The sequence below is a fragment of the Homo sapiens genome, chromosome 13 (assembly GCF_000001405.40).
Source record: "Homo sapiens chromosome 13, GRCh38.p14 Primary Assembly".
Lineage (NCBI taxonomy): Eukaryota > Metazoa > Chordata > Mammalia > Primates > Hominidae > Homo > Homo sapiens.
In genome coordinates, this window is record NC_000013.11 from 36673613 (window position 1) to 36698122 (window position 24510).

Below are 24510 nucleotides of genomic sequence, written 5' to 3' on the forward strand. Positions count from 1 at the left end.
TAGTTGTTTTGGGTGGGGGCTGCGAGGAACTCATAAAAGATGTAAGAGGAGGAGAAAGTTGGCAAGAAGTGGATGCTTTCATCTGCAGAGAAAGGCCCCTGAGCCCTAAAAAAACTGCCCTCCTCCCCACTCCCCCCTCCTCCCCCCGACACACAAAAAAGTTCACCCACTACACCTGCCTTCCCCAGATGGGCTCCCTGCGCAACGCCTCCTCGTCCTCCGAGATTTTCCAATGGTGGCGCAAGCTCCTCCCTCGCCCGAGCTGGGCGCCGTCCTAGAGCCAAGCGCCCGCTAGAGCCGAGACTAGGGGGCGGTGAGGAGTGGGACCCGCTCGCGGCCATTGGTTGTGCGGCCAGGAGGGGCGGAGGGACGACGCGCGGGCTGTGCGGGGCCGGCAGCCCGGATCCACTCCCGCTGCGCCTGCTGTCCGCCGTGCGCCCAGACTGCGCGCCGCGCCGCTGCGCCCAACATTCCCGAGGACGGCTTCGCGGGCGCGTATCGTCCAGACCGGAGCACCGCCCCACCGCTAGCGCAGGAGACCTGCCGGGGAAGTCGCGTGTCCTGACCTGCAGGTCAGTGAGGGAAACTTGCAGGGTCCCGAGCTCTGGGGGTGAACTTGCCCTACGCGGAGAGCGCCCCACTCCTTGCCTGGGGCGGCCTCGGGTCCTGGAGGCGAGCCGCCTCCCAGACTCTCCCCCGAGATCTGGGCTCCCGGAGATGTGGCTCCTTTCTGAGAAACACCCCCAAATCTATCCCTTTTGAGGTGTCCTTACTGTCCCGAGAAGCAATCGCAGCCCGGCTCTCCGAGTCTTGGGGTGACTCCACGGGCTGCAGGAGGAGCCGCGAGGGGCCCTGAGTGCAATGTCCTTGGCCCCGTGTTGACCTGCCTCGGTCCCAGACACTGGGAACCGGGAAGGTCTACCCTCGCTCTGCAAGGTGGATTCCTCCATGCAAGTGTAGACAGTTCTACACTTTGCAGAGTGTGTCTAGGTGCCTTCTGTTTGCTTTTGCCTTTGTGGTGTGTGGAGGGTCATTCTTGGGTTTGTTTTGCTCCTGTCTGATTTTCTAGGGTCATTTGCGTCCCTTCTCGGGAACGGGGACTCGCCATGCGCACACTGACAGCTGGCTTTGCACCTGCTAAGGCGCTGGAGAGTCTTTTCGCCCGTCTTAGGGTGGCCCTAAATCCGGGGAAGTTTTATGTGGCGCTGAACACTTGCGTTTCCCAGGGGCGTTTTCCCTAGCTCCCGGAAACCCAGTAGGTAACTGCGCCAGCGACCCTTCCCCTCTTCCCGGGTCTGATGAGACACTGGAATCCTGCCTTTCCCTGTCGAGGTGTGCGAATGATGGGCAAATTGCTTCAGTTCTGATTTAGGAAAGGGATATGTAATGTGCCCTCCTCCAGGGAGCAGAGGGATTCATTCACAGAAATATCTTGTTGAGGACCAGGATTGGGGCTATGCCTGCCCGCTTTCCTCCACCAGATGCCCGGGCTCCATCGGACTTGGGTTTGATCTCAGACTCTAGAGATGGGGTCTGTTTGTTAGTGTCCTTCATTTCCTCTCCCTGTTAATTTTTCTTCGGAAAATGTTCTGCTAAAGTAAGTACTTCAGTGTTCTTTGTGGTAAATGATGGGCTCCGATGTCTAGAGGACGTCTCAAAGCCATCGCATTTGGTACCGTCTGCACTACAGGTGCAAAGGGCGGGGAAACTGACAGCGTTACTGTCCTGGGGCGGACCCGCGGGACTACTCCCTAAGACGTTTCTCCTAGGTGCCTTCTCCTAGGTGCTTCCAGGATTCATTGTTCAGACAACAGCCTGTCAACAGGAAAAGAGGCACAAGTGACAGTCTTTTCTTAAAGGGTTTGTCTCTTAATGCAGTCTTGCGGAGCCCCATGCACCCTCTGAAAAAAACAATATTTAATTTGCTGAATTATACAACTAGTCTGGGTGTCTCAGCTTATTTGTGATCATGCCCATAGAGGTTCTTAAATATCTTTTTTGTAACTAAATTCTCTTCATTTTACTAAGTAGAGTAGTGTCTTTTCCCCCGCCACCACCACACTCAGAACACCGTTTTTAGTTGATCTGTAAAGCAAATTGCCTTTTGGAGGGCTTGTGAGTGAGGCTGCCTGGTCTCAGAGCCTCCCTCAGCCCATGCCCTAGTCACCTTTAAATGCTGGACATCGTAGGGCCGCCGAAGCCTCTGCCAACCTCAGAAGTAATCTGGAAATATTGAGATCCAGCACGTGGGTGGGATATTCCATTTTTGTGTTTTGGCTTTGAGGGGCTTATTATTTTTGATTCCTCTATATAAGGCAAAGTGCTTTGAAGAGCTGAACGCACACATTTATTGTTCTCATTAAAGAAACCTGTTGTAAGGTAAGATTGAGTCCATTCTCCCTTGCTGTTAGTTCGTTCAGTTCAACAGATTTTACTAGATGTCTACGATTTGGACAAGCACATCAGGGGTTAAGATATAAATAACTGTGTGATTGCATGTGGCATCAAATCCACGAGAGAGTTTATTTGCAGGTTTCCTGGGTTTCTTTTTCTTTTTTCTTGTTCTTTTTTAGTGAGGGCAGATGAAGAATGACAGAGCTGATTTGTAAGAATGACCAACCATACTAACCTTTAAGCAAACTTGGAGTTATACGTTCATTATAAAAAAGAAAGACTAACTCATCACAGGCAAAATTCTGATTCAGCCTCTATACTAGATAAAGTCTGAGCTCATTTGATGATCGTTCTTCTCTGGCTTACTCTTCTCCCTATACTTATATTACAACATTTTTGGGGGGTCCTTTTTTTGTTTAAAGTTTGTACAGTTTGTACGAGCATTTTTATACTTAATTAGTTATAATGAAGAAGTGAAAAATAAAATTATGGCTGAATTTTTGTGTTTTGTTCATCTGAGTTTTTAAAGTAGTAATTTAAGAATCTGAAAAAATACATTTCTGAATGGCCCTGGATGCCAGGCACTGTGTAGGTCCCACTTGCCTGGCTCATGGTACCCATAAGCCATTCAGTAAATATTTGTTAAATGAAACTAAAAGCCAAAAAGTAGTGCCACAGAAGAATGTTGTTTTCTTCAAATATCTACTTGTGGAGGCTATTATATTATATTAGTATATTAATACAAAGTATTATAGACCTAATTTTTATAGATTTCATGATTGTTTATAATGAGAGCTAAAAATAATAATAATAAAGGCTTTAAATTAGTTAATGGAATAGGGAAGCCAACAAGGAAGAAGTTCAAGCTTTAAGCCCACGAGTTGGCAGGATTCCTTTTAGCCAACATGTGTGCCTAGAGGATTCAAGCCAGAGGCTTAGATGAAGATGCCCTTGGTATGCATATGTGGCCCAACCTTTGATTTAGAATTCAGGAAGTCCATCTGTGCATTCACGGGCCATTTCAGGAGCCGGGCAACAGTCTACTGGGCCAAATTCTGTGGTCCCTTCTGTTCTGATTCTGATTTGTGGCAGATGTATCCCTAGGATACAACGTCTTCATGCTCAGTCTCATGACATAAAATGCGTCCTTCACGAGTTCCTTATGGATATAGGAAATAGTCATTATTTAGCCTTTACTAACTTTGGAAATTTTTTTGGAAAAAGAAAAAAAAGATAAAAGATGTCTGAGCCGTCAAACAGCCGTACACACTTTAACATATCTCTAAGCATGAAGTAGCGTAATCCAGCCAAAACAGTGCCAATGACAAACCTCCACATTTCCATCAGAAATGGGGTACATCACTAATATTTTCTGAGTTCCTAACTTTTAAATTCCCAACTATTAAGCTATATTAAGACAGGAAATTAGTCAGTCTAGGTCTACAATTTGTACTTTGATTCTTGATGTTGATATTGTTAATCTGGAAGGGTCTGGAAAATGTAAGCCTCTAATAATTGTTAAAAGGGTCACTTAAGAAGGTAACAGACCTGAATCCAACTTCTGATGGGAAGCAGAAGGATAGGTGGCTATAAGAATCAGTTTCAAATTAAGAGAGACTGGAAGATGACTGAAACCACAGTTAAAACACTAATTAACTTCATTCAGGGAACATTCAACGTATAGATTCACTTCCCAGGGGAGGCCAATATAGCAGCTTTCCTGGTTAACTTGCTAGGGTAGTCTGGTGCTGATTAGAAGTACCTGGTAATCTATCAACTGTTGCCAGTTAAACTGGCTTGGTCCTTATTCACCTTCAATTTCCTTGTGACCAGGATTATATCAGAGGGATATACTATTCTCATTTCTTAAGCAGAACATTGACAACATCCTGTAAAATGCAATGCTACCTCCAAGTACATTTAACCCCTGTTAGGAAGATTGACTTTCTGGCATCAGCCTGAGAGTCAAACTTTGAAAAAAAAATGGTAGAAATGAACCATTTCAAAGGTTTGTGTTAAGTATAGACAGTACAGAAAAAGAGGGGAGAAGGAGGAGCAGGAAGAGAAAAAACAAGTCCTGGGCTTAAAAACCAGCAGTATTTTCATGGCATATGCTATAATCAAATTTTATTTCTATTTCTTAATGAAAATACCTTTATTATTTTTTCTGATGTCAATACACATTCTTTTTGTCAAAATATAGATACAGAAATGCACAAAATAGAATGTTAACATGCCCCCATAATACTACCCTCTAACAAAAACATATGTTAACAGCTTGGTATATAACCTCTTGTTTTGTTTTGTTGTTTTTGCATCTAAAATATATGTGTGTATAATAGTAGTAGCAGTAGTAGTTGTTGTTTTACAAAAAATGGAATCATAGTATACACTATCATGAAGGTTACTTTCTTGACTTAGTCATAGATGTTCAGCATCTTTTCATGTTAGAAAATACGGTCCTTTTTCACAGGGAGGGGAACAACACACACTGGGGCCTGTTGGGGTGGGGTGGTGGGAGGGAGCATCAGGAAAAATTAGCTAATGCATGCTGGGCTTAATACCTATGTGATGGGATGATAGGTGCAACCAACCACCATGGCACATGTTTACTTATGTAACAAACCTACACGTCCTGCACATGTATCCTGGAACTTAAAATAAAATAAAATTTATATATATATATATAAAATATAGTCCTTTTTAATATAAGAGGATCAAGAGACTCCACTGTGTGACTCTTCTGTCATTTATTTAACTAATCTTTGACTCATGGACATTTTAGTAGCTTCAATGTTTAGCTACAGAATACATCTTTGTGCATGTACTTTTAAACTTGTCTGATTTTTTTCTCCATTGGATAAATTCTTAAAATGTATCATTTACACTGTTATCCTATAATGCTACCTGGTTTGTGTGAAAAGAGAAGCATTCAAATAGTTCATGCAACAAGCAGTAGACCTTCCTCACTGTGACCCATTCTTCCCTATGCCTGGCACATAATACTCTTCTCCTCAAAAGAATTTTATTAGCAGTTAACATTCATATAGAAAAGTACACAGATCATAAAGACATAAGATATCATAAAGACATAATTTATGTGTTCAATTTGACACACCCATATAAATGGTGCCAGGCTCAAAAAAAAAATTTACTAATGCATGTTGAGCATCCCTAATCCAAAAATCCAAAGTCTGAAATGTCCCAAAATCTAAACTTTTTGAGCATTGGCATGATGCCACAGTGCACAGTACCCTTTTCATCAAAAGGCAGCACAGCAGGTTGAGACTGAAAGCCTGCTGTTTGTTGTTGGTGTTGTTGAACAGCTGATACAAGTATTCTTGAGATGCAACTGTACTGCTTAGTCAATTTTTTTGTTTGTTTGTTTTGTTTTGTTTTTGTTTGTTTTTTGTTTTTGAGATGGAGTCTTGCTCTGTCACCCAGGCTGGACAGTGCAGTGGCGCAATCTCGGCTCACTGCAACACCTGTCTCCCACGTTCAAGCGATTCTCCTGTCTCAGCCTCCTGAGTAGCTGGGATCACAGGTGCCTGCCACCACACCTGGCTAATTTTTGTATTTTTAGTAGAGATGGGGTTTCACCATGCTGGCCAGCTGGTCTTGAACTCCTGACTTCAAGTGGTCCACCCGCCTTGGCCTCCCAAAGTGCTGGGATTACAGGTGTGACCCACCGCACCTGACCTGCTTAGTTACCCTTGAACACATTTTTTTCTGTGTATTAATGATGTCATATCTTTTAGTGTTAAGTATTTGTGTGCGAATAAGTGTAAGAAAATAATTCCTATGAGTAGCATATAAATTCAGTCAGGAATTATGGTGATACCAAATAACCACAAATTGTTCACATGGGTGGCTAAGATAGTGACATTTTTGCTTTCTGATGGTTCAACGCACACAACTTTGTTTCATGCAAAAAAAAATATTAAACATATTGTATAAAATTACCTTCAGCCTATGTGTATAAGGTGTATATGAAACATAAATGAATTTTGTGTTTAGGCTTGAGTCCCATCCCCAAGATATCTCATGTATATTCAAATATTCCAAAATCCAAAAAAAAATTCAAAATCAGAAACACTGATTCCAGAGCATTTTGGATAAGGGATAAGGGATACTCAATCTGTACCCTCTGCCATTCTCCTCAAGGCAAAACTGTCGTTCTAACAACTACTCATGGGAAAGTCTTTGGTGAGCTTGGATGCTAGTCTCAGACCTTCAGAAAGACTCCTCGCCAACAAAATGGGTCTAGTTGAATGGAATGAGTTTCTAAGATCTTTCAGTCTGTTCAAGTGTCGCCTTATTATCCCTGTCGGTTTTGGCCTTACATTTTTCCACTGAACTCCCTGCTTGGCACATATTTTGATTCATATGATGAAAAGCCTCTGGATTAAAAAAAATTAACTTCTTTTTTGTCTGCCTTCCTCTTGTTAGCCACTCAGCTCAGCTCTGAGTATAGAGTGGATTTAGGGTTGGAAAGGGGGTGCTAGGCCCTCAATTTGTGGTCTCTTTCACTAGCTGGAGTTCCTACTACATATCCTTTTTCAAAAACAAGTGACATATAAACAATGACCTTCAAACTTCACTTAACTTTTGGGGGTGTCATTTTCCTGATTGCTAAAGACTTGTAGCTCTCTGATTCTATGAAAATTTTTTTCTTTTGTTGTTATTGCTGCTTGTGTGGTTTTTAGTTTTCAATGGTTTTACTTTGTTGTTGTTGTTGTCGTTTTGTTTGTTTGTTTCTGGTTTTGAGACGGAGTCTCGCTCTGTTGCCAGGCTGGAGTGCAGTGGTGCGATCTCTGCTCACTATAACCTCCGCCTCCCGGTTCAAGCGATTCTCCTGTTTTTTAATAGGGGAAAGTTAAGATTTAGAGGGACTATAAAGGAAAACAAAAGAATAAATCAGGTACCTAGTACCTGCTATATATTTGCAGTTAGTTGTACGATGAATGAAAAAAGAGAATATTTGCTTCTCTTGTGCTCATCTGTTTTCACTCCTCTTATTATTTTCCTAAGAAGCTGAGGTTTTTGGATTAGTTCCCTGGCATAGTGCTGGTAAGGAGATTGCTGCTCACATCACCATGGCTATGATCTGCGTCAAGTACTACTCGAAGCACAGTCCATGCACCAGCGCCCATTTGAATTATTACTTATTCGTCATGAGATACAGAACTCGTGCCAGAATATAAATCAAATAAGGTACTAGGCATACTTTTTAGTTTAACTATTTCCTTTCTTTCTTTTTCTTCTTTTGTAGCAAGACTTTCTTGATGAAGGAAGCACTGTATTTATTGCAGTTTCCTCATCTCACAGGGACCTGTAACCAACATGCCACTGAGGGAGCCAGGTGGCTACTTTGAGTAGCCCAGATCTCCAAAGTAGCACTTTGTAGTCAAATTGAACATTTGATAAAAATGTAAACATTTTCTTTTTCTGTGCTGATTTGCTATTGAATTTTTCAAGCTGTTTTTGTTTCATTTTGGTTTGGTTTGGTTTAGCATTGAGATGGAGTAGCTAACAATCCTATGGTATGTGATATTCCTGAATGTAGTGAATTATAATAAGCTTCCCCTACAATGATCATGAAGTGGGGATTTTCCTTGACCCTTTTTATTTCCACAGATGAGCACAGTGTCATAGGTTGTGATGATAAAGGATTTGTGATTTTCAAAGGATGGAATTATCATGGAGTTTAAGAAATTCTTTTAAAAATGCATTCTGGGTCATATTCAGCCAGAGCTTCATAGTCTCACTATGGTAAACTCTCTTGATTTTTATTGTGCCCTTCAGAATACATTTGTTACAACCCTCCAGCTTGTTCACAAGAATGTATTTCAGTATTTCCAGCACACTCCTCCATCCTTTCCTCAATTATCCTGGTGAACAGTTGACCAAATAAAATCTTAGCTTTCTTAGACATTGTTGAAAGACACAGTTGGTTGATTTTTAAAAGTATGGGCATAGTTTGCCCTGGAACCAGAAACTATTAATTTTATTGCCATAATTGAAACACTTCTAAAATTTAGAGAGCATTCATCATCATTATTCTTTACTGTTGATGCTTACCCCCTTTGAGTAATCTTTATGATTTTACACAAGATCATTTATTCATTTGTTAAATAAACATTCTTTTGCCTGTAAAGACAGAATAAACATGAGCTATCTCTCCAAGAAGCTTCAAGTTTCTTTATTCCCTTATTCTTTCATTCATGCAGCCATCTAACAAATGCTGATTGATCATCCTTATGCCACATTCTGTACTAGTCTGTGGATATAAGATAGGTGAATTGTTATTTCTTTATTCTAGGACTTCCCAGTTTGTTAAAGCAGATAGGTAAATAAATGTAGTAAGTATAATAAAATGTGAGAAATGCTAGTGTAGAAAGGTACAGAAAGTATGCTGAGAATGCAGAGGAGGGAGCCAGAAATTTGCATAGAGAAAGTAGGTAGGGATTTCTATTAGGTGAATAATAAGCAGATGAGACAGAGGATGGATGGCTTGAGTAGAGACCTGCAGTGAATAAATTGGATTTGGGTTCAAGTTAGGGAGAGGATATGTACACATATAAGGATTGAACATAAGTATTTTTTTAACTGGAGAATTGAAAACAGCATGTTATGCCTGGAACGCAAATCTTAGGTACAATGGTAAAAACGAGACTGGAAAAGTAGCCTGTGGCCAGATCATAAGGGACAGACCATATAAGAGAAGTCTTAGATTTCTCACTGTAGCTGGCAACTATACAAATTATAGATGCATTAGACTCATGCACATAATGATAATATTCTACCCCTTCCTGTACATTGTTAAGAAATATTTGTTCAATGTATGATTGAATGCAGCAAATACTATAGTTTTTCTTTTTCTTCTTTCTTTCTTTATTTATTTGTTGAGATGGAGTCTCACACTGTCTCCCAGGCTGGAGTGCAATGGCATGATCTCTGCTCACTGCAATCTCTGCCTCCTGGGTTCAAATGATTCTCCTGCCTCAGCCTCCCAAGTAGCTAGTTTTTCTTAACCAAAAACAATACCACTGACCCTTGTACGATGAGTTTTTTTTTCCACTAGGAGTCATGAGTTAGTCTTAATATTCTTATTGCCTCTCACCTGTTCCCATTTGAAACCATTTGGCCTGTTTAAGTGACAGCTGGTCAGGATTATCCTTATACAGTAGCAGCTCATCATATTTGAGCTTGTTAAGGAACATGTCTTTGGCACTACCAGTAGCTAAATCTCATGCCCTTAAACCTAACACTTCTATGAAATTAAAGCTAACCAAAACAGCCTTGAAAACCTTCTTTCTCACCAGTGCCAAAATAGAGTTTTAATATATTACATACACAATTCATACAACTCTCAATTATTCATAATTTGACTTATTTATGGTCAAATTCTTACAGACCCATAATAAACTCAGCCATCAAAGTATAGTGAGACCTTATGTTAGTTAGTAGAAGGAGAATGATGCTACAGTAACAAATAAGCCCCAAATCTCAGTGGCTTAAAACAACAAAAGTTTATTAATGTTGACATAAGTGTCAATGGGGCCAGCAAGGGGTGAAGATACTCACTGTGGTCACTCAAGGATGCAGACTGATAGACATTGGCAGGTACTTACACCATTACACAATAACTGCAGCAGAGGGAAGAGGTGTGGCAAGTCTCACACTAGGTCTTACATTTTCTATCCAGAAGGGACATGTCACCTTTCATACATTTCATTGGTCAAAATAAGTCATACAGTCACCCTAAATTCAGAGGGAGTGGGAACATGAAATCCTACGACAGGCCTACGAGAAGGGACATCAGAAATATTTCGTGAACAGCACTAGTGACTACAAGTCTCAAATACATTCCTCCTCAACCCACAGTCTCCCCAGAGAGAAGGAATGGAATGAACATACAATTTGGAGACGGAGAGATGTAGTTTGAATTCCAGCCCTGCCTCTAAGTGGTTGGGTGAGCTTGGACAAGCCTTTAAATTCTCTGAGCTTGTGGGGCGCAGTGGCTTACGCCTGTAATCCCAGCACTTTGGGAGGCTGAGGCAGACATATTTCCTGAGCTCAGGAGTTTGAGACCACCCTGGGCAACATGGTGAAACCCCGTCTCTACTAAAATACAAAAATTAGCCGGACGTGGTGGTGGGTGCCTCTACTCCCAGATACTGGGGAGGCTGAGGCATGAGAATCGCTTGAACCCAGGAGGCAGATGTTGCGGTGAGCTGAGATCGCACCACTGCACTCCAGCCTGGGCGACAGAGCGAGACTCTGTCAAAAAAAAAAATTCTCTGAGCTTTAATTTTCTCATTTGCTAAAAAAGATGATGGGAGATAATACTAACTGACTTAATGAGTTGTGGCGATTAAAGAAAACACACATACATATACAGACACACATCCAAAATTGGTACATGCTTTTATTTGATAAATACTAGCAGCCATCATTTATGTTACTCTGGTTCTTTTTTCTCAAACTGATTTGTCTGCACATTCTTTCTCCTCCACAAGCATCCTGGGTTTGCCTTCCTCTGCCAATCATGCTCTGAAGACAGACTGCTACTCCTCAATGACTTGGGGATGCCCTCACTACCTCTTTCCTCTCTCCTGTACCTCTCATCATTCTTCTGCCATGATGTGTCTCTGCATCCCAGCTCAAACCATTGAAACGAAAGAGAACTGATACTAGATGTAAAAATAGTGAATAATGGGTGAAAGTGTAGGCTATTTCTACAAATGAATTAAAAATGCAGAGCTCACATCATCTAAAAGTAAGGTGAAGAGCTCAGCCTTGATAAAGGACTGTCAAAGTCAGTTAAATCTTGTACTAAAGATTATCCATAATTTCCTTGAGTGAAAACATATTTATTTATATTTTTAAAAGAATGTGTAACTATCTTCTATAGGTCACTACTTTGGCAGTCTGTTTTCCACAAATAATTCCTAATTATTTTTCAGTTTCACCTTCTTACATTTTCAAATTGAAATACGCTCTGGGAGAATTTGAGCCTACACTTGTCTATTGCTTCCATATTGTCTTTGACAGGCTCTGGTCTTGAATCGTTATCTAAAATGACAACAGGCTGCTGAAGACTTGATTTCCACCCACACTTGATAGCCTGCCATATCATTTTGTTCCATGTTATGAGGAACATGTAGACATTTTCTTTATTAACCAGACTTTTGAGTTCGCTGTGCCGCCTGTGAGAGAAACAGAGAGCATTGGCAGGCTCGGCCGCTGTGTTCACACTGAGGATTAGCAGGACCACGGGAAACCCACATGGGAAGGTGCTTTCCTAATGAAGGACACAACGTCCTCTTTCTGTTTTCTCCCTTCCCAGGTGTCCTTGGAAATCCAGGTAGATGAGTAATTTTGCAGCCATGAGAGAGCACTTAGTCTCCTTGTATAGATCGTGTTTTATGTAACCTCTGTCTAATATCAGATTCATCTGGCACTGACAATTTCAGGTCCCTACCTGTATCCTCAGTCATATGATTGGTGATGACTGGGGAAAAGCACTATTCATATAAATGTTTCCTATTTTTTAAAATTGCAGCTGCATTTTGCCATGACTAGCTTCAATTTCTGAACTGTTCATTGGCCCCTATGACAAAAGACTCTGCCCTGGACTGTAAGTGAGTTCATGGGATCAAGTTTAGACTCTTGCTACACTAGAGAACTCACCCAAACCAAGGTGATTAAGGAGGTGATTAAGGCTAGTTATAAGAGTTGTAAGGAGTGTGAGCCTTTTTATCTGTGGAACTTGCTACTTGCAGCCTCTTTCACTTAGCTGCCCAAGTGAAGTCTCTGCTTCTGTTTAGTTTATCTGCTGCTTCTGTTTCCTGAAGTCCCTACTTTGAACCTGGACCACGCTGGCTCTTGTGGGTTCTCCCTGATCTTCTCACAGATCACCTACTCATTGGTCCTCATTAGAAAACTGCTAGTCCCAAGCTTTGACTGGGTGTTTAAACTGCAGGAGAGATATCCTTGGCTGCCTCTGAAGATGACTGATGATGTAAGATGCACATAACAGGATTACTTGCTCCTGGAGGCCCAGATGAGATTCAGTCCAGTGGGTGGTGGCAGGAGTAGAATTGTGAATAAGGCTTACTAGTGAGTCACCATTCTTGGTCTTCAGGCAGCCTCTCCCACGACCACAGGCACAGTTTCCTGGTCATATTCAGCTCCCTCTAGTTCATCCTCTGATGCTTCACTGCAAGTGTTTGTGGCTTACTGGGCATCATGAGCTGATGGTAGCAGCAAGTAGTTGAGCTTTTCTAATGCCCACAGAAGAATCTGGCTTCTATCATTGTATTTCCTTAGAAGTTTCTAACATTTTGGCTGACTTAGCGCATATTTTTCCAAGCATATTTTCTTAAGTTCCTTGGGACAAATTATTTTCTTCAACTTGCACGTTGCAAATTTCTAAAACTGTTGAAAACTTGCAAGAATAATAACAATAAATACCTATATATCTGTCAACTAGATTAACCAGTTAACATTTTGACACACTTGTTTTATGTATGTATGCATGTATATGCGTAAGTGTGCATACTTTTTTTTCTATTTTGGCTGAACCACTTGAGGGTTAGTTGCTGATAATATGAAGCTTTATGGCTAGATACTTCAATATGCATTTCCTAAGAGCAAGAACATTCTCCTATGTTACAACTAGGAAATTTAATATTGGTATAATTATCTAATGTACAGTCTATATTCAAATTTCCCCAGTGGTCCTAATAATGTGCTTTATAACAAAGCTGGTTTTTTTAATTGATCCAAGATCCACCAAGGATCTTACATTGAGGATCCTTATAAGGGAAGAAATCTTGAAGTCTGAATCCTACTTTTTTTCTCTGAGTATTCAGCTGACTACTAAAGAATATAATATGGCCAAAACTGGATGTATCCAAAACTTAGCCTGCCTAAGCTGCCAATTAATAGGCATTATTCTTTTTAAATAGCCATTTTACTCTTGAAAGCATTATCATACTTTGACTGTCAGCCACAGAGTACTGGAAGAATGAGATAATTTATTTGGCAAAATTCATATGTATATGTTATGCCAAACACTTGGCTAATATCTGGATGAGATGGGCAATTTACAGACTATGTAATCAACTAGGGTTCTATCTGTAGTTGTGTTATGAGAAACAATGGTTCATTAATTCACGGAAATGTGAATTAAAAATGTCATTAAGCGAAAGACTCTGTTAGCTTGAATTCCTATTGGGATATGCAAGACACATAACATTTATGCATATTTGTGATGTTCTAATCCATTTTTAGGGAATAGGATATTATATAAAGCACCCTAGTTTAAACAAATACATGATTACGGTTGTCAATAGAGATAGATATAAATAGTGACCTGTGTAATTATTTTGCTAATGCTGAAATTTTTTTTCAGACAAGTGGATCCAAAATCTACCAATGATCTTGCATTACATTAAGGGGAAAAGTATCTCCTTAATGGGGAATCTTTACTTTTTTTTTTCCAAATTGTGCCTATACACATGATCTTATGGATAGATAATGGTTGTTATTCCTTGTTGTATTCTTATGTGCAAAAATAGAGAACTTGATACATTGGTTAGTTTACATTGCTCTCTTTCTGTGCATCAAGCTTCAACTATCAAGATATTCTAAGTGGCAAAGAAGTTTGGGGTCTGTGTTATAGAGTGAATAAAATATTTACTGCACATCCATTCTTATAAATTAAAAATACACACACACACACACGCACACAACAACAACAACAACGTAATAAGACATTTACAGGAACAGAGACCAACAAAAAGGTTCTCATTAAACTCGTTAGCCTGGATGCCTGTGAGAGATGGAGTTTCAAGTTCTTCCCTGCTCTCTTAGGACAGTTTTAGAGGCCCACAAAGGCCCCAAGGCCTGAGGATACCTAGTAGTTTACATGCAAAGGATTAAAAACAAAAAAAAAAGCTCTGGCTGACTTATTCCCAGGGGTTTGTGACAATCACAAATTTATTTTACAAGCACAAAATCTTTCCAAATATCACTCTCTATATGGAGACTGTTATGAACATTTTCTGGTTGGACAAAAAATATATATTGGATACAAATTATTTTACTATAGAGACAAAATGAGACACAAAAGAAAAGGAACAGGCACCATTCCATTGTCCTAGCACGGCATGGTTTTATGAGAATTCTATTTTATTTCATGTATTTTTTTTTTTTTAGACAGGGTCTCACTCTGTCACCCTGGCTGGAATGCAGTGGCACGATCATGGCTCACTGTAGCCTTGACCTCCCAGGCTCAAGCAATGCTCCCACCTCAGCCTCCAAGTAACTGGGACTACAGGCACACGCCATCATGCCTGCATAATTTTTGTATTTTTTGTAGAGATAGGTTTTCTTCATGTTGCCCAGGCTGGTCTTGAACTCCTGGGCTCAAGCGATCCTCCTGCCTCAGCCTCCCAAAGTGCTGGGATTACAGGCATAAGTCACCATGCCCAGCCTGAGAATTTTCTGAAAGGTTGTCTAGTTTTGCTAAAAATAAGCAAGACTTTTTACTTTACTAATGCCATGATTTAACCAATTTTAGCTGATCTGAGATTAAAAGATGTTTCTCTTAATATACTTCTAAAATATTGGAAATGATCAGAGCAGGATGGGGGGAAAGAATTGATCCCAAAAGCTCTCATTTAAAATGCTGTAATATCTTGAAAAGCCAATCTTTTTTTTACCTTCTTTCTTCCCATTGATTCATTATGATCTTACTTATGATCTTCAAGTCATTATTTCTCTGGCTGTTGGCTTTTTCTGTCAATCAAGTGTATAGCCAATGACCTTTTCTCCTGCTCTCTAAAAGTGGCTTTCATCATTCTGCTGCTTCTTAACCAGTTAGTGTTTTCTTCAACCCGCAGGTTACTCCTTTTCTTGTTTTGATTTAGGCCAATTATGTTAGCCAAGATGGGTCCAGTCTCCCTGAAGTGCAGGAATTCTACTCCTTGGTCTTTTGTAAACACCATAAAAGAATCATGAAAATGCTATGCCTGGACCTGGTTTTGTACTTGACCGTTTTATCTAGAAAATTACCCATTTAGCTATACATTTTATTCTAAGAGAGTATCTTTTTAAATAGTTATTCTTGCTAAGGCAGTGATTTGGATATAAAATCCTCCCATGGATGTAAACATACTAAAAAATTTATTAAGAATAATAGTTACATCCAGGCGTGGTGGCTCATGCCTGTAATCCCAGCAGTTTGGGAGGCCAAGATGGGCAGATCACCTGAGGTCAGGAGTTCGAGACTAGCCTGGCCAACATGACGAAACCCCATCTCTACTAAAATACAAAAATTAGCGGGGCATGGTGGCAGGTGCCTGTAATCCCCGCTACTAGGGAGGCTGAGGCGGGAGCATTGCTTAAACCCGGGAGGCAGAGGTTGCAGTGAGCCGAGATCATGCCACTGCACTCCAGCCTGGGAGACAGAGTGAGACTCTGTCTCAAAATAATAATAATAATAATAATAATAATAATAATAATAATAGTTTTTTTCCCCCAGAAAAACAAAGCTAAATAAATGCAAGGGACTTATACCTATAATTACTTTTGAGACTGTATGAGGTAGATGCTCAAAACAATTAAGTTCATATCCTTTTTTGAAAGATTCTCCTGTGGTTTTTTTTTTAGTTTCCCTCAATCAACTCTGTTTTATATATCAAGAAAGATATATTGTGAATATTCTGAGAATTATACCTTACGTAGATAACTAATTTTTAAAGAATTAGTGCAAAATAAGTTCTCTAAAGTAAAAATATTCTGAGTATAATTTATATTTATTTTTATTTTTGCTGAGGAAATATTTTACAAAGCCTAGGAGTAATCCAGGTAGACAAAAACCATCACTAAGGGAGAGATGGAGAGACTGGGCCGAACCCAAAGCAACCTAATGGCCTGCGCTGGAATTGATTCTTAAAATAAAGCACTGATACCAAGCTATTAATTTGTCATTTCTATAATTTTTATCCACCAAAGTACTATGGAAAAACTCTGAGTGTATTTTCTGATCATTCATTTAGATTAAAAAGTAAATTAAAAAGATTGTTCATTTTTATCTTTTGTCTCACATCACCCAATGGACGATTCAGAATCTCCATCTCCCCACCTTTCTTCGCATAACATGGCCCTCTAATTCAATGTTCTCAATGTGCGATAGCAGATAGATGCAGTTTATTTCCTTAACGTGGCTTTGGTTTTTATCATGCCAATTGAAGGACTCATAATGAGAGTTCACACAAAACTCTACTCTCCCAAAGCATTGTACTGATAAGTAAAGGCGGTTCTCAAATAGGCAACTCTATGGATGGCTGAGTCAGCTTTGAGTAAGGGTAGCACGTAAGATAGTAAACTTTATTTCTATTACTGCAAGGCCCAGGGGTAAATGTTTGCCTTTGAATGCAAGTGAAGATTTACATTTAGAGAAGGGTGGTGGGAAGTGTGTATTGTCAGCAGTAATCTTCTCTCAGCTAGCATGACCTAAAAGGCCACTAAGGAGAGAGAAAGCATTAAAAGAGAAGATAATCATGCAAAGGGTAAAGGAATGGCTGCAAGGTCTTATATAAAACATGCATTTTCTAAATAGAATGAAAAACAGCTTTGCTCAGATATGATAAGTTCCCTTCTGGATTCTGGAAATATTCATTTTTAGGTGTTCTACAGAGGAAAAGATCTAATACATCATCTAAAACCATTAATTCCATTCAACTATCAAATCTTCCTTTTGTGTACTGGAAAAAGCTTTTTATTATGTTGTGTTAATACTTTGTGGCCACTTTCCTCATGGTTTTGAGAGGATCACCTTTTGGAGTATGACAGCAGAACCTGATAATGATGGAACATTGATATGGCATCTAACAGCCAGGCCACTCTTTAAATATAAAGTCCGCAAGGGAACAAAGCAGCTTGTCCCAGTTTTCCACAACAACAACAAAAACCTTTCAAATAGTCGTTATTCACATAGAAATGTATTTGAATAAAGGTCATGAAATTTAAAATTGCTGTGCCATATTTGAGGCTGACTGGTAGCCTGAGTTTTACAAACTATTGTGTCATAGAAGTCAAGGATGTGGCGCAGGCTGGGCCCATGCGCTGACTGCCATGGGTCCTGCAATGCTTATGTGAGAGCACTCAGAGATGAGAGCTGGTCAACTCTTCTTCATTTATGGAGAATGAAGGTACGTGCTAGAGAGTATGTTTTTCTTCTTCCCAAACATTATAGTCCTCATAATCCTTCCGTGGGAAGGAAGTTCTTTAAAAGGGGTCCCAGGGCTGTGGTGCTAAATGACTGGGAACCAGAGACCCCAGGTGTGCGCTGTCTTACGTTGTCTCTCTGTTTCCCCACCCCACTGGGCACATGGTGAGAGACTGCACATCCCTCCTTCCTCACTTCACTAGGGGACTGCTTTTTTGTAGATTTCTTCCCAGCCCAGGCTTTTATTACAAGAGACAAAGGGAAAGCTGGTTGACCATGAGCTAAAACATTTCCACAGGTCTTCCTTTATAATGTTGTGATCCAACTGTCTCATTTTCCTTTCTCAAAAATCACCTTCTGAGGACAGTGATTCTGAGCGGAAAAAAAGCATCAAAATCCCCATGTGGCTTTAGGTGTCACCTGAAATGAGAGTCTGCTGGCGCTGCCCCGAGACAGGTCAAGGCTATGCATTTAAGATGAAGTCTCTTTCTTCTTTTCCTCAAACCTTATCTGTTTGGGAGCAACAGCCCAAGAAGCATCATCTTGAAACACACTCATTTGATTTCATTTCCGCAGTGCAACCTCCAGCCTGTTTCCACACTGTCACAATGCCTAAACACATACAGGCTGGGTCACCCTGAGCATTATACAGCTACTGTTAAATAAAACCAAAGAGAAAGAAGATATTCCAGTTTTTAAAACTTCAATAAGGAAACGAGAATTAACATCCAAATTAAAATTCTTTCTAGCAGTGCACATACTCTGTTGTTTCAGAGTATGAAATGAAATTTGTGTAGCTGTGATTTTAAATTAAGAAGTACCCCGGAAATGGTATTAAATCAATAATATTTGGGGGGAATACTTAAGGAAGAAGATATTTAGTTGTGAAATGTCAAATAAGGACACAAGGTTTCATTTCCTTGTTTTCTCCTATTCTTCCAAGGCCACTTAAAAGATCAGATGCTTTGACCAAACCTTCTGAGCCTCATTTCCTATAAACTCTCCTGTCAACAGTTGAGGCTCATGGTGGGGTTTTGGTCTGAAAGAAGGCAATCTTCTGGAAGTAAAAACCTACTCTTAGAATATTTACCCTGTAAAATGATATTAACAAGAGGTCTGGTAGCCAGCTGTAAGCTTTACCAACTGAATTGCTGATACCAGAGTGACATTGCCTGTGCCTCCAGCACCATCCCTGAAAATGATACAGACTTGGGTAGCAGAGAAGGTAGCTTTAGAAAAATCAGCCAACTTCAGCTACACCTGTCGAAACTGTAGGACTAAGAGAGACCTTGAAAGTTCCTCTAGACTTTCTAGAAGGAACTTTCTATCTACTGGCACTTTACTTGGGATGGCCTTTTATGATTTTCTAAGTATGATTATGGAAAATGTTATCACATCTTAACTCAAGACCTTCTGGAGAAGTAGGAAAGGTAGGCATCACTGTTGTGCAAATGAGAAAAATAAAAGATCGGGACTAAACTGTGGGCTTGCCCAAAGTAAGTGGCAGATAGGAACTAATTATCCAAAGCATAATTTTTCTTTTCTTACCACAGTTGAGAAAACCAAGAACACAGTTCAGGCATGGATTCTAGTCACTTTTCTGTCACTGTCTAGCTATGTACCCTGAGTAAATCGCGATGTTTTTGCATGTCAGTTTTCTCATCTCCAAAATGGGAATAATTCCTGCTTTACCTGCCCTGCAAAGTAGTCATGAGGAACACACAAGATGCATAGTCTTTGCCTTATCTGCCCACGCAGAAAAGAAATTATGTTTACATTTGATCCTTCCCACCAAAACCTTAGAGAAATTGAGACCAGATGTTATAGGGGGTGAGGGTGGGGAGAAGCCAAAAGCCCTTGCTTGTCTTCTAATTAGACATGTGACTTTTGTCAAATCAATTAGCTTCTTTATTTCTCTATTTCCTCTGCTACACTTAGGAGGTTGTACTTGAACATTTTAAATAGTTTTTCCCATCCAATCTGTGAGGCTTCTATCCTAGTTTTCTTTTCTATGCTACCTCTGCAACTCTTTGCTATATTCCCCAAAGATGAACGGCTGGAACATTTATGTGCTATAAAAAAGCTAGGTATTGCCAAAACAGTGTAACACATTTGCAGTCCCACTGCGATTCTTCTTCTTCTTCTTTTTTTTTTTTTTCCTTAAGGTTGGTTAGGAACCTATAGCAGCCTAATGGAATTAAAATCACCAGGCAATGCAAAATGAGGAGTAGGAGTCAAATTATTTTAGGAACTACTAAGACACCATCCCTAGCCTACTCAAGAACTCACTAGGACTCATTAGACTGCCTGTCACCCAACAGGGACAGCCCTCTCTGAAGTGTCCCCACCTTAACAAGGATCATTAGTGCTGTTCAGCTCCAGCCACAGTGGCAAATGTCAACCCCTCCAAGAATCAGCTGCTTAATTAGATTTGGAGAACAGAAGGAAAAGGCAAGTTCTCCAGGTAAAATGAAGGGCAGAGTTTAGGAAGAGAAAGCTAGAGGCAGAGTGAATGTTTTCCTGTTAGTTTTGCACCACAATGGAAGCAAGATTTAGAAATGTACAGCAAAATTATCTAGAGCCATACAGAGCTAGGAAGAGCATCTTTTCTGGACTAGAAGAAAGACTTATCTATCAGGAGGGATCCTCTTGTCTCACAACCTGAACACAGTGAAGAGCTTTTCTTTGCACCTGGCTAAGAAGAAATGGTCCCCCCTCCACACTCCTTAAAACACAATACCCTACACCCACCCATCCACCAAGTCCCATTATCTCCCACCACACACTAAAGTCATTTTTTTCTCCAATGCTTTACAGTTCAGCATACTTCCATGTCTATTATGTTGGTCAGTGCATAACACCATGGGAAGATGAAGCAGGTGTTGGACCATTTTACAAATAAGAAAAGTGATGCTCAGAAAACGTAGGTAATTTGCCCAGTTTCCCAAAGATAATGGAGAACTCAGACCTCAAACCTAAGTCTCTTGACAGCCAACCTGATACTCTCTCTACCATTCGGAGAGAATCTAACCTTTGTTCTTCTTCTAAATGAATCTAAAGTTTTTAAATTAAATGCCTAAAGCATGTAAAACAAAGTACCTAGGTACATTTAAGGAAAAGAGTTACATAGAAATGGCACCTGATTTCAAGGAGATAGAATTTTCATAAACAAATCAGCATCTTACAAACATTCGATAAAAAGCAAACTCACATGTGCAGTGATTTTCCAAAGTGTGCTAGAGGGATTTACTGGTCAGGAATTATGCTAATGAGCTGGTGAATGTATGGAATTAATTTTCTGGGGGAGGGAGGTTTGGAACTAACTTTCTGTGTTCTCATCTCAGAGTGTATACTTGGAGCATCTATTGAAATCACAGCAGATGGAGCACATCATAAATGTATTTTCCCTTTTATTTTATCTTCAGCTCCTTGTAGAAACATAGCACCTAGGGTACTGTAGACAGAAAATAAACGTTCATTTTTATATCATCATTTGTAATATAAAGACATAAACATGACTGATTCCTAGGGGAGTTATATCATCTTGTTTCCTCCATGCTGAGTTTTCTAACTAATCCTTACTGAAATAAAACCTAAAAATGGAATTTAAATGTGATTTTTCTGAAGAATGCACTGACTTGCTTTTTTTTTTCAGTCTCAATGCACATCTGATACCTGCTGCCTTTGAGAAACAAGTTTTGTTGTGCTGATTTAACAGCCTGTGAATTCTGCAAACACGATCGTGAAAAAATGCCAATCTGTCCTGTGTAAGCCCTGTGTGAAGTTTTGACTTTAATCTACCAGATCACTCCTTCACCCTCCATAAAGATGTCTGAACCTGACACTTCCTCAGGATTTTCGGGAAGTGTGGAGAATGGAACTTTTCTTGAGCTGTTTCCCACATCCCTGTCCACGTCAGTGGACCCATCCTCAGGCCACCTGTCAAACGTCTACATCTATGTGTCCATATTCCTCAGCCTTTTAGCGTTTCTGCTTCTGCTTTTAATCATTGCCCTCCAGAGGCTCAAAAATATCATCTCCTCCAGTTCCTCCTACCCAGAGTATCCAAGCGACGCTGGAAGTTCTTTCACCAATTTGGAAGTCTGCAGCATTTCCTCTCAGAGGTCCACTTTTTCAAACCTTTCATCCTGAGGAAAATGGAAGAGTCCTTGAGTGTGGCAGCAGTTTTGACATCCCCTTACGGAAGTGTCCCGTGAGGCATTGCCTCATGAAAGAAATGATCCTTTTGGTGTAGACCTGCTTCTCCTTCTCCTTTTTCTCTGATTTCTTTTCTGTTCATGATGCTTTTCATTTGGGGATGGAGACACCGATGTTGGTGGAAATGTGTGCAAACCCCAAGGTGCAGAATTTCACACAAATGGCTTGATGAATCTAGACTGGGCTTCTTCAGGTAAGTCAGTTCATTCTACTTTGTTGGACGCCGTAGGCTCATCTGAGGTGGCCTCTCCGTGGATGCTGGACATGGACTCGCACTTCATTTCTTTTACAAAGCCGTGAAATCAACTGAGCCTGCAGAAACTGGCAAAATCAAGTCTGACCTATGTAGAAGTTATTTTCCATATTTAAAAGATAAAGTGGAGACACCAAACTTAAAAAGGAAGAGAGTCAATTTAGATTTAATGTATGACATTTCTAAAACTGAGGGTAAATATATGCTAAATATTTTCTTTAACTTCACTTTAACAAGTAAAAATCACACTTATTGATGAATGTAAGTCATTTGGGAAAGTTTTGGAAGAGTTTACATTTTAATAGCAAGACAAACATGTATTATGATGGAGCTTGTGATGTATTTCTGCCTCCTGGAGTTTTATTTTGTTTTTCTGCTTATGTTTTAGTCATAATGCCACAAAGTTGTGGAATTTTTGTGATTAATTGCTGTTACTAGTACTAAGAGAAGCACCAGAAGAGATGCCAAGAAGTTTTTATATGAATAATTTCTATCAGTGAGAATTAAGCATATGGAAAATATTCATTTAGTTGTATTTTATACAGTAATAACTCTTAGCTGTCGTGTAAGTTCCTTTATTCGGTTTCATAGTCTTTATAATTTTAGTGCAGAATTATATTAAGCCTCCAAGATGTCTGATATTTGTTCACTCACATTAGGTTGTAAAACTTAGAAACTAAATTGCAAATATATGTGTTATTATATACTCCACGAATGTTGCGTCTCTGATAATTAGTTGTTGTATGTTAACATAATACTCTACATTAGGATTTCAGGATGTGAGTTTGTATTAAAAATTGTAGGCACTCAAGTTGTGTAGCTGCTGGGAGCTTTAGGGATCCTAGGAGCTGCCGTGCTGCAGGCAGCAGAGTATGTCTGAACTCGGCGGGCGGGTGGCAGGGGCTGTCTGTGAAATTAGGCACACATGTGAGCTCAGACATGGAATGTGGAGGAACTCAAGCTGCCCCTAAAAACAAAACAATCAAACTGCAGCTCCTTAAGAGTAAGAATTTTAATTTAATTTTGAAAATAAATGGCCCACAGGGTAAACACTGAACTTATTCAACCTACAGGAGGCCACTGCATCAACACGCCACGGTCTTCCCATGGCAACTGAATCATTCCTTGTTCAAAACATTTAATCATCTTAAGCAGTGGGGCTTCAACACACCGTTTGGTTAGATTGTGCAGTCAGCACTCTCCAGTGATTAGAATGGGGGAAAGAATCCACTATTTGTACAGGGTTTATCTTTATCATACTAAAATGCTGAGTGAGTGGAGGTCTGGGAATGAAAATCAGAAGTCTTCTTCTTCTTTTAATTCATAAGCCTCACTTAAATCAGAACACATTTAACTATTTATATATCAAAAACGTCCCCAAACACCATAAGACCAGCACAGAGTTGCTGCCCTAAAATGTATAATTAGTGAAAAATTTACCTCTGCTTCCATTTAAAGCATGGCAGTGGGTTGGGTGTCATTATGTAGTATAAAAACTGGACTAGATAAACTGCTATTTTAGAGCATTATTAGCATTCTCTGAATATATGTATATATACATATATATACGCACACACACACACACACATAAATATATATATATATATATATATATAAACTCACATACTCCCAATTAAAAGTCGTGTGAAAGCTACACAGGATTACAGAGGCATCTATATTATCACTTTTGCTCTTTGACTAATCCTATGCTGTTTTTGTTATAGAGAGAAACAAGGACATGGATGAAGTGATTTTTTTTTAAATAAAAGGACAAATTTGCCACACAACAGAACAATCTGAGTATGATCTGTCCTCAGGGTATCTTTATATCCTTTCCATGTGAAAGAGATATAAAGAATTCTGACAGCAAAACTACTTTAAAAATCAAATCAAATCAAATCCACAAGCACACTCCCATTCCTCCCCTGCCGCAATGGTTCTTGCTCTCAATGTTTAGTAGAGAAATTAAGAGCCACATTCAAAGATGGAAAATAAGATTTGTCATTAGAAGCTTGCCAAGGTAACAGATTGTACAACTTGAGATGAATTCATGTTGTTTAAGAAGTTCAGAAAGGTTGGAAGATGGGTTTATAAATAAAGAAGTGGAGTCCATTGAAAGCCTGGTTCTTTGATTCTTTTCCAGTGAGGTGATTTATAATCTCTTCTAGAGAAGAAGCTTTTCCTAAGAGTTTTAAGCATACACCACACACACACAGAGACGTATAGACATATATTTACATATAAATATATCACTCCTTTTCTGTACGTTCTGTCTGAAGCAGGGTCAGTAATGTGTGACCCAAATGTCAGCCTCTCCCCAGCCCTGCAAGGATCACCTCCTTCTGCGACAGTGAGTCCCACATTTCCCAGATGAGAAGAACGATCTGGGTGCTTCGACAAT

General features: G+C 39.9%; 1 protein-coding gene and 1 long non-coding RNA gene across 5 annotated transcripts in view; one reads left to right on the forward strand and one right to left on the reverse strand.

Annotated features, from left to right (window-relative positions):
- Positions 1 to 407: 407 nt before the first annotated feature.
- SERTM1 (serine rich and transmembrane domain containing 1) lies at positions 408 to 24227 on the forward strand. Its single transcript, NM_203451.3, has 2 exons — positions 408 to 572; positions 21294 to 24227. Exon 2 carries the CDS (start codon positions 21467 to 21469, stop codon positions 21788 to 21790), a length of 324 nt encoding a protein of 107 aa, NP_982276.2. The 5' UTR covers positions 408 to 572; positions 21294 to 21466; the 3' UTR covers positions 21791 to 24227.
- Positions 1733 to 24510, reverse strand: part of LOC102723490 (uncharacterized) — a 113878-nt gene continuing 91100 nt past the window's right edge. Inside the window, exon 7 of one of the 4 annotated variants that reach the window (XR_001749825.2) lies at positions 1733 to 1815. This is a non-coding gene — a long non-coding RNA (uncharacterized LOC102723490). Of the gene's footprint in view, positions 1816 to 8582; positions 8675 to 24510 lie in introns of those variants that run through there. The other 3 variants (XR_007063757.1, XR_001749824.2, XR_001749828.2) reach the window with 3 other exon arrangements.

Bases quoted from the DNA above. Each gene is read 5' to 3' on its own strand.
- SERTM1 (NM_203451.3), top strand. From the start codon at position 21,467: ATGTCTGAACCTGACACTTCCTCAGGATTTTCGGGAAGTGTGGAGAAT.